General features: G+C 36.4%; 1 protein-coding gene across 3 annotated transcripts in view, besides 2 other annotated features; it reads right to left on the reverse strand.

Annotated features, from left to right (window-relative positions):
* Positions 270 to 1,009: an enhancer, noted in NCBI's record as "OCT4-NANOG hESC enhancer chr4:70333407-70334146 (GRCh37/hg19 assembly coordinates)". NCBI's record gives its function as "activates a minimal SCP1, AML or CMV promoter by ChIP-STARR-seq in naive and primed H9 embryonic stem cells {active_cell/tissue: H9 hESC(naive and primed)}" and the evidence as "EXISTENCE:reporter gene assay evidence [ECO:0000049][PMID:30033119]".
* Positions 12,746 to 16,609, reverse strand: part of UGT2B4 (UDP glucuronosyltransferase family 2 member B4) — a 45,850-nt gene continuing 41,986 nt past the window's right edge. For all 3 annotated transcript variants that reach the window (NM_001297616.2, NM_001297615.2, NM_021139.3), the window contains one exon: positions 12,746 to 13,491. In NM_001297616.2, the coding sequence (NP_001284545.1) occupies positions 13,215 to 13,491 (277 nt within the window). In that variant the 3' untranslated portion in view covers positions 12,746 to 13,214. The remainder of the gene's footprint in view (positions 13,492 to 16,609) is intronic.
* Positions 15,229 to 15,422: a silencer, noted in NCBI's record as "fragment chr4:70348366-70348559 (GRCh37/hg19 assembly coordinates)". NCBI's record gives its function as "represses an EF-1alpha promoter that drives an FKBP-Casp9 reporter gene in an ReSE screen in phorbol 12-myristate 13-acetate-treated (for megakaryocytic differentiation) K562 erythroleukemia cells {active_cell/tissue: K562(+PMA)}" and the evidence as "EXISTENCE:reporter gene assay evidence [ECO:0000049][PMID:32094911]".

Genomic DNA, 16,609 nt, shown 5'->3' on the forward strand with positions numbered 1-16,609 from the left:
ATTAAAGATAAAAGGGCTCATCTGGGGGCAAATTTAAGTCTTGACAGTTTGATATTGGGTGATATGCAGAGTGGCTAATGTCTGTGTTTTATCACATATATTTTGCTTTGACCAGAGTGATAAAAGGTAATTTTCTTTTATGATGCAGCTTGGCCCCCAGGGTGATCATGTGGTAAGCTGGGTTACCAGGACCACTCAGGGAAAGAAAATCTGGAAGTCTGACATACTGGTGACACAGCTTTGATGACTGGAGTAACACCAGGGTGCTTGGTCTTGTGCCAGTTTAGATAAAAACACACGGACAAATGTGGAGTGTTTTTAAGGACTGAAAAGTTTAACAGGTGAGAAAAAAGGAAGGAAGAAGAAAACAGCTCACCTCTTAAGAGACAGAAGGAGGGGCAATTCGAACAAAGAGAAAATCCTGTGTGTGGTGGACATGTGACTACTTACGTTGGGATGCTGGAAAAGGTGGTGTCTGGTTTCCATACTGCCCAGGGGATTGGTTTGACCAGGTATTCATTTATGTAGCCTGTGAAAAACCTGGCCCTCCCACCGTAGGGCTTTAATATGCAAATGCAGTTCACCATGATGTTCCAAACACAAGGTGTTATCTGGAGGTGGCCGTGACACTTCCTACACGTGGTGACAAGAAAAAGACTATGAGAATCACCCTGTTGAGTGAATCCAGTTTCTAATGGTTGGCATTTGCATATCAAAGCTTGCCAGCCCAGCCCCTTAAGCCACCTTTTCTGTTAGAAAAGAGATGGTTTGGCCTAGTGAGGTGGCTTATGCCTGTAATCCCAGGACTTTGGGAGGCTGAGGACAGCAGATCACAAGGTCAGGAGTTTGAGACCAGCCTGGCCAAGATGATGAAACCCCGTCTCTACTAAAAACACAAAAATTAGGTGGGTATGGCGGCAAGCACCTGTAGTCCCAGCTACTCAGGTGGCTAAGGCAGAAGAATAGCTTGGAGCCGGGAGGTGGAGATAGTGCTACTGCACTCCATCCTGGGTGACAGAGTGAGACTTTGTGTCAAAAAAAAAGAAAAAAGGAAAGAGATAGTTTGGGGGTTGTTTGGGTTTTTTTTGTTTGTTTTTTGTTTGTTTGTCCGTTTTTGGAGGATTTTCGCTCTGTCTCCCAGGGTGTAGTAGTGCAGTGGCCCGATCTTGGCTCACTGCAACTTCCACCTCTGGGGTTCAAGAGATTCTCCTGCCTCAGCCTCCACAGTACCTGGGACTATAGTTGCCTGCCACCATGTCAGGCTAATTTTTGTATTTTTGGTAGAGACGGGGTTTCACCGTATTGGCCAGGTTGGTCTCAAAATCCTGACCTTGTGATCCACCCGTCTCGGCCTCCCAAAGTGCTGGGATTATAGGCGTGAGCCATCGTGCCTGGCCTGAGAGTTGTTTCTTATTAAAGGAAAGTTTCCACTGAGAACCTTTACCCTTACTATCTTCCTAAAAATGATTTCTTAATAACTCCTGTATCACTGGCAAAAGGGTAATAATAATTTATTAGCAGTCAGATTTCTGGCTATTCTCCCTCTTTTTCTCTGTGCAAACTGGTTAAATGAATGGTAAAAATCACTGTTTATCTCCTCTGTGACGTTTTAATTAATACAAAAAAAAAGAATTCTGAGGTTGGTCTTAAGCTGTAGTGAATCTGGTGTGCTTTTTGTGTCTTTCTGTATTATTCTTTCATAAAGATGGGTACCTTAGGAAAAAATGCATGCCTAAAACCTTCTAAGCCTGCTGTACAAGGTGGCTTAGCACACTGGTCAGTTAGGTCCTTGGGAGCTTGACCTTGTAACCATGTGGCCATGTTTCTCTATTCACAATGGCAGCCTAGATTCAGGGTTTAATCCCTAGCTTAGGGGATGAGCCTTTCTGATTGATATTTGGGTGACCTTAGCCACTTTTAATTCTCTTTCCTCCACGAACTATCTTAAATTTTTCTTTTTCAGAGAACCTGTAAGGTTACTTTAGGTAAAGTTTAAAAGCATAGAATATTGGCAGTTTAGTCTGGTCTCTCTTCAATTGGAATGACAAGAGCCAAAAGAAATGTGCAACCATGAGGATCTCATAACCTTTCAATATCGTACTGAGACCAGAAACCCAAAATGATGGTAGAGAGTGGTGCTAAGCCCTATGTTTTGGTCACACTCTCACCTAACAGACAACCTGACCAAAAGGGGAATTTTTTTTAACAAAATTATGGGAAACCATTATTTTGAACTAAGCTCTTGTCCTAGGCCCCAACAGACCAAACCAAACTAAAATGGAGAGTCACTTGTGCTAAATGTGATACAATTAAACTAAGACGTTAAGGAAACACAGATCCTAGAACAGACCAGGTTTTGTTTTTCTCCTTTAAACACGATGTTCCAGCATAAAAATGTACCCTTTACTCATTCCTTTTTCCTAACTTTGAGTAACTCACTGTTCTCTGTTTCCCAGTGGGTTTCAAGACCAAATAAATACATTTACAATGGTGAGAGTGACATCAATAACTAAAGTTTTGGTCAATCTCTCATAATTGAGAAAATGACCAAAAAGGGGAATTGTTAAAGTGAACTAAATATAGACTGAGAAGGACTCCATGCTTTTATATTTGAGTCCTTGTGGACAAACTGCAACCTAGCTTAACAGGTAGACAAGATCAAAAACCTAACTTAGGAATATGCACCTATAAAAATAACTGAGTCTTGTCAATCCCAGAGGCCACACTTCAATCATTCATACGCTGCTGAGTGTTCAACCTTTAACCAGTCCAGCCATTCTGTACCTGACTTCCAATTTCTGTACATCATTTCCCTTTTTGGATCTAAAAATCTTTTTCCATGATGTGGCTGTGCTAGAGTCTCTGTGAATCTGCTGTGATTCTGGGAGCTGCCTGAATCGTGAAATATTTATTGTTCAACTAAACTCCTTTACATTTAATTCAGCTGAGGTTTTGTGTGTGTGTGTGTCTGTGTTGGATGTTTTGTTTTGTTTTGTTTTGTTTTGTTTTTTTTAATCAAGCATATGCCCATGAGTTTTTCTGCAGTAGTGGAAAATACGTTCAAATGTATCTTTGGGCACACCTTTTATCTGTGCATTGATTGATCCTGTAAAAACTTTCTACAATTTGTCTTTAGTAGTGCAATATGTAGAAAAAGTTTAAATTTAATACTAGATGGTTTGTCAAGATCAAAGAAAATGAAAGATAAAGCTCTAGGACAGTCACCTCATGACCTTTCTGGACAAATTCATCCAGTGCTCACTTAACATTGACCAATGTCTTTCTTCCACCAGCACCTTCCCACAACTCCACTAGCTAAAGTAACAACTCAACTCAACTGTAGGGGGAGCAAAACCAAAGTCCATTTCATAGACACTCTGGTTAAATGCAATGCATCTCTTTGAACTACTCTTCTCTATGCCATTGCTGTTGCTTATATCTAAGGAGAAATCATCAAGAACTTAAAATAAAACCTTTTCACATCTGTATTTAACAGTTTTTCTGGTTACAACAAGATACCAGAGTCTGGATAGTTTGCAAAAAACAGAAATTGATCTCTCACAGTTCGGGAGGCAGAGAAATGCAAGACCAAGGTACTAGCATCTACAGAGGGCCTTTTTGCTGCATCCTCACATGGTGGAAAGTGGAAGGGCAAAAGTAACCAACACTGCAGCCTCACATGGTAGAAAAGCAGAATAGCAAGCCCGCTGAATGCTGCATGAAGACTTTTTTCTTTTTTTTTTTTTGGTAACGTAGTTTTTCTCTTCTTGCCCAGGCTGGAGTGCAATGCTGCGATCTTGGTTCACTGCAACCTCCACCTCCCAGGTTCAGGTGATTCCCCTGCCTCAGTCTTCTGAGTAGCTAGGATTACAGGTGCCCACGACCATGCCCAGCTATTTTTTTTTGTATTTTTAGTAGAGATGGGGTTTCACCATATTGGCCAGGCTGGTCTCGAACTCCTGACCTCAGGTGATCCACCCACCCCCAAAATGCTGGGATTACAGGTGTGAGCCACCGCGCACTGCCATGAAGCTCTTTTATATGGACCGCCATTAAAATTCACAAGGAATGCAGTATCACTTCTCTGAGGCCCCTAGTCTTAATCTGTCCCATTGGCAACACCTGAATTTTGGAAGGAATACATTCAAACCATAGCAATGTCAAAGTAAATACATTATATGAACAATCACAGTTTTTGGATGGCAAATGGATAAAGAAAAGGTAGATGGCCTCATGCTTACAAGAGCATGTTAATGTCTCTTAAATTGTTAAAAGTGGTTTACCCCCCAGTAGAAGTTAAACTTGAATATGCTAGAAACCTAAGTCATGTAAGAGGATTTTAAGTGGCAAGACCAGTGGGAAGTGTGCAGCTTCCTTGCCTGCAGTCTTCTTGACACAGAACTGGAAATAAAGTAATTATACAGCTGAATCAGCAGTTATTCGATATCATGGTTCAAGATTCATTCTGTGTGTAAAAAATTTGTACACATACAATTTACATATTATATATGTATTATTATACATATATAATAACAATTTACATATTAAAAGTGACAATTCAATGGAGGGGCATGGTGGTTCACACCCATAGTCCAAGTACTTTGGGAGGCTAAGGCAGGTAGATCACTTGAGCCCAGTGGTTCAAGACCAGCCTGGGCAACATGGTGAAATCCTGTCTCTACAAAAACAAAAACAAAAACAAAAACAAAAACAAAAACAAAAACAAAAACAAAAAACAAAAATTAGCCATGAATGGTGGTGCGTGGCTGTAGTCCCAGCTACTTGGGAAGCTGAGGTGGGAGGATTCCTTGAGCCCAGGAGGTCTAGGCTGCAATAAGCAGAGATTGTGCCACGTGTTATTTGATGTGCAAAAGTTTTGATTTTGATGTAGTCCAATTTATCAATTTTAATTTTGTCTCTTCTGTTTTTGGTGTCATATCTAAAAACCTTGACACATTCAAGGTTACAAAGTTATACTCATATTCTTTCTCCTAAAATTTTTATAATTCTAGCTCTTATATTTAGGTTTTGATATAGTTTGAGTTCATTTTTGTGTATGGTTTGAGGGAAGAAGTTCAATTTCATTCTGTTGCACATAAATAATCAGTTTGCTCATTGGCATTTGTTAAAGAGGCTATACTTTCATCATTGTCTATACAATGACATTCTTGTCAAAAATCAGTTGACCCTATGTGTGGCTGTATTTCTGGATTCTGAAGTCTTTTCAAATGGTGCATGTGTCTCACTGTATACCTGTACCCTACTGTCTTGATTACTGTAGATTTGTTTTATGTTTTCTAGCTTTGTTCTTTTTTGCCAAAATGGCTTTGGTTATATTTAGATTTCTTATATATCTATATGAATTTTAGAATCAGCTTGTGAGTGTATGCTAAGAAACCAACTGAAGTCTTGATGGGGCCATGACAGGGTCTTGATAGGTTCAATCTATGTATCAATTTGGCAAATAAAGGCAATGCTACTATAATGTTTTTCAAATCAGGAATATGAGATATGTTTTCATTCATTTAGATCTTTAATTTCTTTCCACAATTTTTAGTAATTTTCACAATTTACATTTTGTATTTCTTTTGTTAAAGTTATCCTAAGTATTTTATTCTTTCTGATGGTATTTTATGTAAAATTGTATTCTTAATATCATATAGAATAATTTATTGCAATTATGTGGAAATACAAATAATTTTAATATATTGATCTTATGTCCTAAAATTTTTGTTTTTTTTTGAGCAAATACTTTTATAGTGGATTCATTAAGATGTTCTGTATATAAGATCATTCCATATACCAATAAAGATAGTTTTATTATCTTCCTTTCCAATATGGATTTGATTTATTTTATGTTTTTGCCTAATGGTCTTGCCAAAATCTCCAAATCAATTTTGAATGAAAGTGAAGAGAGTTGATTTCTTTCTCTTGTTCTTTACCTTAGGAAAAAAAAATCATTTAGGCTTTTCTATTAAGTGTGCCATTAGCTTTTTTTTTTTTTTTTTTTTGCAGATACTCTTTCTATTAGTCTGTTTTTACACTGCTTTAAAGAACTACTTGAGACTATAACTTATGAAGGAAAAAGGTTTAATTGACTCACAGTAGTGCAGGCTTAACAGGAAGCATGACTGGGAGGCTGGAGGAAACTTAACAATCATGACAGAAGGCAAAGGAGAAATTAGAACCATCTTCTCATGGTGTCAGGAGAGTAGGAGTGAAAGGGTAAGAGCCACACAGTTTTAAACCATTATATCTCATGAGAACTTATTCACTATCATGGGATCAGGGATCAGCAAGGGAGAAATCAGCTCCCATGATCCAGTCACCTCCCACCAGGCCACTCCTTCAATTCGACATGTATTTTGGGTGGGAACAAAAATCCAAACCTTATTATTCTGCCCCTGTCCCCTCCCAAATCTCATGTTCTCCTCATATTGCAAAATATCATTATCCCTTCCAAACAATCTCCAGTCTTAACTCATTTCAGCATTAACTCAAAAGTCAACAGTCCAAAGTCTCATCTGAGACAAAGTAAGGCCCTTCCACTTATGACATGTAAAATTAAAAACAAGTTAGTTAATTTCAAGATGTCATTAGCGTACATCCATTGCATCAATGCTCCTCTTCCAAAAGGGAGAAATTTGCCAAAACAAAGAAGCTACAGGCCCCATGCAGGTGCGAAACCCTGCAGGGAAGTCATTAAATTTTAAACCTCCAAAATAATTTCCTTTAACTCCATGTCCCATTTCCAGGCCACACTAATACAACAGGTAGGATTTCTTTTTGGTTTATATCCATTGCTGGTGAGCTAGTGTGATTTTTGAGGGTGGTAAAGAACCTTGTTTTGTCATATTACCAGAATTGTTTTTCTGGTTTCTTCTCTTTTGGGTAGACTATGTCAGATGGAAGATCTAGGGCTCAAGGCTGCTGTTCAGATTCTTTTGTCTCATAGGGTGTTCCCTTGATGTAGTAGCTGCTGTGGGTGTTGGGGGTGTGGTTCCCAGGTCAATAGAGTTATAATCCCAGAAGGATTATGGCTTCCTCTGCTATGTCATGCAGGTTGTCAGGAAAGTGGGGGAAAGCTGACAGTTACAGGCCTCACCCAGCACCCATGCAACCCAATAGACCGGTCTCACTTCCACCATGCGCTTACCAACAGCACCAACTTTATTTCTAGTCAATGGGTGAGCAGGGCTGAGAGCTTGCTCCAGGCTACCAGCCTCCCAGCTGAGAAAGCAAGCAGGGTGTTCACACCTCCCCACCTGTTGAGTCTACACACCAATTCACATACTCTCTGGAGTTCTGACCAGGAGATTTTGCATTCTATTGGAATTGTTGCAAAGTTCAGCTGGAGGTTTCCTTCTCCCTGTGGTCTTTTCCCAGTTCCTCTGGCAGCCCTCCCCAAGGACCCCTGTGAGACAAGACAGAAATGGCTTCCCTGGAAACCCAGAGAATCCACAGGGCTTTTCCCGCTGCTTCCTGTACCCCTGTATTTCACTCTGCTCTCTAATTGACTCAGCTCCAGGTCAGGTCAACTTCTGTGGTCTGAAACTTTAGGTTTCCTGGTAAGGGTGTGTGTTCAAAGGCAGATGATCTCCTTTCCCACTTTCACAGTTTGGGCACTCACAGTCTTTGGGCTGTCTCCTGGGTCCTGCTGGATCCATCCCTTTTCTACCTTCTTGTCATACATTTGTTGAATATAGTTATTGATTCCACATCCATTTTTAGACTTAACTTGAGTTGTTTAAGAGCAAGTCATAGCCTGTCACTTTTGGCTTTGTGAAACTTCCCTTCCTTGTGTAGTTGTTTGTGACAGAGTACACTTGTTTCTCATCCCACTGACCCAGAAATGCAACATACCACAGAGCTGATTACCATGAGATAACCTAATGGTCAACACCAGAATCAAATAATAATTTTCCCTCTTCATGTGTGTTTTCTTAAGATAGCCACTCCACAACTCCGGCAGACAAGACTAGGAAATAATGCTCATAGACCTTAAGAAAAGCACCCCCACAGCCCCCCACACAGGGATTCTCTCTATCACTTCCAGGCAGCTGGTTGAGCTCTCTGCCACTTCTGAATTTTCTGTCCGTTTTATGTCATTATCCTTAATATCTCTAGGAACTGTAATACATTTCTTCTATTTCATGCATTTTGGTTTTATTTTACATTTCATTGTATTTTACCTGACACACACATCTGAATTTCACTTCCTCACCTCCATCAGAGCTTGGTTTATTGCAATTCTCAAGGGACAGACTTCAATACAAAATTGGACAGAAACTGTAACAATATAAATCACAACACTGCTGAATATATGTAATAACAGAGCAACTAGGAAATAATAACTAATTCTTATACATCACAGAATTTTCATTTAGGAACAAATAGGAGATGTAAAAATAAGGAAAAATAAAACACTTTGTTGAAGTTATGTACCTATTTGCCTTTAAAAAAACATTATCTACTAGGCTATAGAATGATGCCAACAGATAATGCCAGGTTGCAGGAGATGGAGGATGGGAGAATGCGAGATGACTGTCTAATGGGTATAAAGCTTCCTTTTGAAGTGACAAAATACTTTGGATCTAGAGAGTGGTGGTAGTGGCAAAATATTGCAAATATATTAAACGCCAATGAATTGTACACATTAAATGGTTAAAGTGTTTAATTTTGTGGCATAAAAATTTTTAACCAATTATTTAAAAAAGAACACAAGTGGATGGCCAGATTTGACCAAAAGGCCATAGTTTGTTAGCCCTTGTTTTATGCTATAAATTTAATTCCCACATATTTGAAATAGTAAATTATGTCATTTTTATTATTTACATTACAAACACATCATGTTTTCAAATGGTACTATGTTTTTTGTGTATCTGTTGGTTTACTTTTTTTTTTTTTTTTTCTTGACAGAGTCTCACTCTGTCACCAGGCTAGAGTGCAGTGGCGTGATCTCAGCTCACTGCAACCTTCGACTCCTGGGGTTCAAGCGATTCTCCTGTCTCAGCCTCCTGAGTAGCTAGGACTGCAGGCACACTCCAGCATGCGCACCTAATTTTTGTATTTTTAGTAAGGATGGGGTTTCACTATGTTGGCCAGGATGTTCTTGACCTCTTGACCTTGTGATGCACCAACTTTGGTCTCTCAAAGTGCTGGAATTACAGGTGTGAGCCACCATGCCTAGCCTGTACTACGCAATTTTATGAACAGTAAACTTGTTGTGGAAATTTTTTTATTTAATTATAAGAGTGCAAATTTTATTTTGATGTATACAAAATTGTTTCTAGTACTTTACAATATTAGTGAATCCCTTCTTTCAGCAACCCCTGAGGTAGATAATACTGTGACCAACATTGCCATTTCATTGGTGAGAAAGCTGAAGCAAATAAAGTTTAAATACCTTGTCCAACCCACACCATTATTTAGTGATTTCTCAGAGATTTGAATCAAGGTGACCTGAATTCAGAGTGCCAGCTCTTAACCACCATGTTATGCTGACTCTTCTATTTGAGGTTTTTATAGCAATAATTTATTGGCATTATTTCTATTTAATTGAGCATCAGTAACTTTATCATCTTTGATATGTTATTTGCCATTTTTACTTTGAATTACCTATTCATACTTTCATCAACTTTTTATTAGATTTGTTTGTCTTTTTTGGTTGTTGTTTTGTAGTTGTCACTAAACAATGGAAACCAATCTATTGTTACATGTGTTGTAGGATAGGTTTAATGTAAATAAGCAGAGGTTTATAAGCATGATAAAACAACATTATTAACCTTTGGCACTATATTAGTTCTGTGTTTCTTTATATATGTATCAGTTCCTGGATGATTTGTATGAAATATTCTGTTATAAACTTTTCCTATAATTTCTCTAGCATCAATGTTATACTGTGTGTGTGTGTATATATATATATATATAGTCATGATTTATATATACATATATAAATATATATACATATGTAGTGAAATATATATATATAATATTTATATTTAAATCATTCCTTAGACTGGAGAATACTTGTGTGATAATTAGTAAATAGTAAGGCTTCTTACCAGCAAAGACAACTAAGTTTTTGTCCATCTGGACCACTTTTATCATAAAGTGCTTCCCTGATGTGTATATTAAAGAAGGTTTATGGCTTGATTTAGCTATTTTCCACAAAATTTATAAACTCATTGTATACTTTGTACACTTTTTGTCATCCTAAAAGATTTCATGCTTCTATTTTATATTTAGAGAAGAAATGGATCAAAAGACCCTGTGGAAAAAGAGAAAAATTAGAGATGATTATTTGAAGTATAGTATGTGGAATATAATTATTATTTCAAACTGTCTTCAATAAACACATTGAATTTTACCACCTATCTATTAGGTAACTAAATGATGCAGTGTCTTATTTTAAAAAAATGGACATGTATATGTACATGTATGTTTAGCAAGATTAAAAATACACTTAATCCCTTCATAATGAAATTCCTATATTATTACAACCAAAAATTAAGAACTTAACATTTGTCATTAAAGGTGAAAAATGAGAATAGAACCCACAAGAAATTTAGAATTTTTTTTTGGTTCTGTGAATAAAGATGATGGTATTTTAATGGAAATTACATTGAATTTATAGATTGCTTTTGGTAGTATGGTCTTTTTCACAATATTTATTCAAGCCACAAATGAACACAGGATGTGTTTCCATTTGTTTGCATCATCTATGATTTATTTCAGAAGTGTTTTGTGGTCTTCTTTGTGGAGAACTTTCACCTTCTTGGTTAAGTATATTTGTAAGTATTTATTTTATTATTATTATTATTATTGCAGATGCTTTAATAGGGGTTGAGGTTTTTATTTGATTCTCAGCTTTGATGTCCACATAGCCCAAGTAAGACTAAGCAAAAAAACAAACAACAACAACAAAAAAAACACACATCTGGAAGTGTCACATTACCTGACTTCAAACTATACTACAAGGCTATAGTTAACAAAACAGCATGGTACTGGTATAAAAACAGGCATGTAGACCAATGAAACAGAATAGAGAATTCAGAAATAAAACTAAATACTTATAGCCAACTAGTCTTTGACAAAGCAAACAAAAACATAAAATGGGGAAAGGAAAACCTATTCAACAAATGGTGCTGGGATAATTGGCAAGCCACATGTAGAAGAATGAAATTGGATACTCATCTCTCACCTTATACAAAGATCAACTCAAGATGAATCAAATAATTAAATCTAAGACCTGGAAGTATAAAAATTGTAGAAGATAGCATCATAAAAACTGTTCTAGACATTTGTTTAGGCAAAGACTTCATGACCAAGAACCCAAAAGCAAAGGCAACCAAAACAAAGTTAAATAGATGGAACTCAATTACACTAAACAGCTTCTGAACAGCGAAAGAGATAATCAGCAAAGTAAACAGATAACTCACAGAGTTAGAGAAAATCTTCACAAACTACACATCCCACAAAAGACTAATATCCACAATCTACAAAGTGCTGAAACAAATCAGCAAGACAAAAACAAATAATCCCTCAAAATGTGACTTAAGGACATGAATAGACAATTTACAAAAGAAGATATACAAATGGTGAATGGCCATAGTTTAAAAATCCAAAAATAATAGATGTTGGCATGGTAGTAATAAGGGAACACATTTACACTGCTGGTGGGAATGCAAGCTAGTACAACCACTATGGCAAACAATATGGATATCCCTTAAATAACTAAAAGTAGAACTGCCATTTGATCCAGCAATTCCACTGCTGGACATCTATCTAGAGGAAAATAAGTCATTATATGAAAAAGACCCATATACACACATGTTTATAGCAGCACAATTCACAATTGCAAAACTGTGGAACCAGCCTAGATTCCCATCAGTCAATGGGTGGATAAAGAAAATGTGAGATATATATATATATATATGTGTGTGTGTGTGTGTGTGTGTGTGTGTGTGTTTGTATACACATACATATATAATTATATATATATACACATACATATATAATTATATATATCTAATATATATTATATATAAATATCACATTTACTTTAGCCACTAGTTGGGGAATATATATATATACACACACATATATTATATATATATATATACACTACTCAGCCATCAAAATGGACAAAATAAACCTGGATGGAGTTGGAGACCATTATTCTAAGTGAAGTAATTCAGAAATATAAAACCAAACAATGTATGTTCTCACTTATAAGGGGGACCTAAGCTATTAGGACATAGAGGCATAAGAATGATATAATGGACTCTTGGAACTCAGAGGGAAGGGTAGGAGGGATGTGAGGGATAAAACAGTACACACTGGGTACAGTGTATACTTCTTGAGTAATGAGTGCACCAAAATCTGAAAAATCACCACTAAAGAGCTTATCCATGTAACCAAAAACCAGTTGTCACCCAAAAGCTATTGAAATACCTAAAAAACAAAGAATAAAAAAAGATGAATATTTTCAAATGAACAGAAAAATAGAATTGGCTCAAAAAACCAAACGCATTGTAAAATTAGTTCATTTTGTAGTAGAAACCAGGTAGGAGTTGCTATATTTCTAATTCCACATACTTTTCACTGGGAAATGACTTAAGCTCTAAAATGGTAAGCATTTTTATCATACCTTTTAGGAAAAAAAATGACGTTGAAGCACGATGCACAATAAAAGCCAAGCAGCACTAATCATCTCAAAATATCAAGAGGAAGAGACTTTCTATACAATTTAATTATTTATTAGCTTCCTCAACAACAGTTAAAACAACACAATCCTGCATGAAATGGATCCAAAGTATGCTGAGTATTTGCAAAACAGTACTGATACTGTCAGTGGACTTCTTAATGTTCTTGTTTCCATGTACAATGTGTGACATGTAGTTAAGCTTAGTAAATTTTTTTTCATGTAACCTGTGAATTGGAACAATAAATTTCAATATAAGCTCAATACATTTCAATATAACCTCATATGGCTTTATATCATTTTTGTTTTCCCTAATGTTTTCCTCCTTGACATGAAATATTTCTAATGGTTAAACAGGTACTAAAACAAATTTTGACTTGACAAGGTAAGTTTTGAAAGATGTTTTGTCACAAGAAGAAAGGAATCTCTTGTATCACAACGTCTTCTTGTTGTAATAAACTAAAGGAGTTCATTTATTGGGTTTCCCAGCTTCCAGCCTCAGACGTAATTAATCTCTTTTCCCCTTCTTTCCTGTTCTAACAAACTTCCAGACACAAAACAGACATTTTGTGATGATGAATATCACAGTTGCCACACAGGCCAGCAGGAACCCAGTCACATCCAAAGAGTGGTACTGGAACCAGGTGAGGTCGTGGGCTGCAACCCGAAGGTGCTTGGCTCCTTTATGGCGCATGACAAATTCAATCCAGAAGACTGCTCGATCAAGGGGCTTCACTGGTTGATCATGATGAATTCTTGATAATTTCATAGCATTCTCTTTATATCTAAACGATAAGCAGAAAAGTATCAACATTGAAAGTAAGTTAATTTGGCCAGGCACGGAGGCTCACACCTGCAATCCCAGCAGTTTCCGAGGTCGAGGCGGGCGGATCACGAGGTCAGGAGATCAAGACCATCCTGGCTAACACGGTGAAACCCCGTCACCCCGTCTCCAGTAAAAATATGAAAAAAAAAAAAAAAAAAAAAAAAAAGATTACCCAGGCGTGGTGGCATGTGCCTGTAGTCCCAGCTACTTGAGAGGCTGAGGCAGGAGAATCGCTTGAACCCAAGAGGCGGAAGTTGCAGTGAGCCACAATCACACCACTGCACTCCAGCCTGGTGACAGAGTGAGACTTCCCTCTCAAAAAAAGAGAAGGTAAGTTAATTTGCCTGAGCACATCAAGTCCACGAAAGGTTTTTAAAGTGCCAGATCATTCAAAGTAAATGTCATAGAATTGACATAGAATGTGTGTATTTTAATTTGAGTCATCATAGAAAGTTTGGCTTTTAAATTGGAATTTCATAATTGACAAATATTTTTAAAGTAACAATGGAGGGTCAGGTGAGAAAGTTAATTATTTGAGGCAGAGAACATATGAGCAATTTTATTTTCTTTTAATTTTTAGTTTTTGTGGTTACATAGTAGGGGTATTTTTCTATGAGGTGCATGAGATGTTTTGATACAGGCTGCAGTGTGAAATAATCACATCATGAAGAAAGGCTACCCATTGCTTAAGCATTTATCTTTGTGTTATGAAATATCCAGTTACACTCCTTTAGTTCTCCAGCAGGCGTATAAAATCATGGTCAGCATCATGAGCCGTTTTAAGTGGTAAAAGATATACACCTTAAAATACAATTTGAGAATTATCATCTTTAAGTTTCTAAAGAGGAATTGTGTCATGTGGGTGAAATGCCTCATAGCCACATGCTCTGCTTCTATTCTACTCTTTGTGTCCTACTGTTTCCCACGCAGTAGCCAGAATGATTATTTTTGAAATAAAAGTCAGATTGTGATACTCCCCTGATTAAGACTTTTGCCTGACTTTTCATCATATCAAGAATAAAATCCAACTCTGTTATTTGGTCCTCAGGATCCTGCATTATCAGACACTGGCAAGCTCTTCTCCACTTTCCCATGCACACTAGGTCTTCTAGGGACATTGGCCTTATATTTTTCTTTAAGCTCCTGTCCTAGCATCTTACACATTGCGTCCCCTCTACCCACACTTGGAGTATTCTTTCTTGCAACAACTCAAGGCATGCTTCTATCTCTTTTTGAGGCAACCCTCTAAATGTTACCAATAAGAGAGGCTTTTCCTGGCCACACTATGATAGAACCCCTAGGATTTCCTCTACTTTTTGTGCTTATTTTGAACTTATTTGATTCCTATAATCTTAAAATACATTGTACGTCTTCTAAAATACACATTTAAGCATAAAACACATAACATAAGTGTACATACGCTAAGTGAAACAGCCCAATAAGGTAAGATCATCTTAAACATTATTTCGAAGTGAAGATACCACTATCTCTCAGATCATGATAGAGGGTATCAGAATCTTCTTAGAAGAACTCTCTTTTCCTGGACCATTTTAGTCACTGCTTTTGTCCTCCAATTAAGTATTAACCTGACTTCAAAGGTCATACTTCAGCTTTACTTGCTTATGTAATTAAATTAATTATGTAATATATACTCCTTTTTTTTTCCTTTTTTTGAGATGGAGTCTCACTCTGTCACCTAGTCTGGAGTGCAGTGGCATGATCTCGGCTCACTGCAACCTCCACCTCCCAGGTTCAAGTAATATTCCTGCCTCAGCCTCCTGAGTAGCTGGGATTACAGGTGCGCACCACCATGCTTGGCTAATTTTAGTATTTTTAGCAGAGACAAGGTTTTCACCATGTTCATCAGGCTTGTCTCGAACTCCTGACATCGTGATCCACCTGCCTCAGCCTCCCAAAGTGTCTTTTTTTTTTAATGTAGCAGTTGTTGGTTTAATTCTGTTGCTGTGTAGTATTTCATTGATTGAGAATACCACAGATTATCTTTTTAGTTTATAATCAATAGACATTTGAGTGCCAACAATTTCTGGACACTATTAATAATTCTGTCATAAACATTCTTGTATATAGCAATAGGCTTACAAATTTATACATATATTTTCCTATATAATTGAGAGTGGAATTGTTGAAATAAAAGTGTGTGCATAATTATGATTTACTTTTTTACTTTAAAATATTCTAAAGTGTATTTAATATTCAAAATTTAAAGATTTTTTAGTTATCATTTTTATAATTTCTCACATTCACTATGGCTGGATCTTATACTCTTTATGATATTGAATCTTTTCATACATACTGAATCTTGATTTATGACCCTCCCCATGTAACTTCAAATAACTATTACCTACTCAACATGCTCTAGAAAACTATGCCTTCCAGTTGATATATAGAATACATATGTATGAGTTATATATGTGTGTGTGTGTTATGTTACATTACAACATTACAATTGTTAATTGTGTTCTTCAGTTGTTTTATGTCCTTACTCATTATTTGGTCTTATTTTTCAGGTCAGTTTAGATTTAATGGAAGTATCTGTATATTCACATTTAAATCTACTACCTTATTTTATATTTCTTTTCTATTTGTCTAACCTGTTTTATGTTTCTTTTCCAATTATTTCCTGTATTCTTTAAAGGTAGCTTTATCATTCATTATCCTTCTATTTTCTTTGTGATAAAGTACTTTTAAAGTATTCCTTTAGGTGAAGCCCCTTTTACATAAAAACATTATTAATAGTAGTTATGAATGCTGAATTGATAGTAGCTGGGTTGGGCAAGGCATTTTGCGCATTGCTTTCTTTGGAGTATGAAAAAATCAATTATCAAAAATTTTACTCACTAAAAATAAAATTTGTGTGCTTCAAAGACCATCATCAAAAATGTAAAATGTTAGTGCACCAAGAACGAGACGAAATATTTATAAATTATATATCTCATATGGGATTGTATCCATAATACATAAATAGTTCTTATATAAAACTCAATAATAAGACAAATATCAAAGTTTTAAAATGTTTCAAAGATTAAAATAGACATTTTTCCAAAGAATGTATATGC

The sequence above is a fragment of the Homo sapiens genome, chromosome 4 (genome assembly GCF_000001405.40).
Source record: "Homo sapiens chromosome 4, GRCh38.p14 Primary Assembly".
Taxonomy (NCBI): Eukaryota; Metazoa; Chordata; class Mammalia; order Primates; family Hominidae; genus Homo; species Homo sapiens.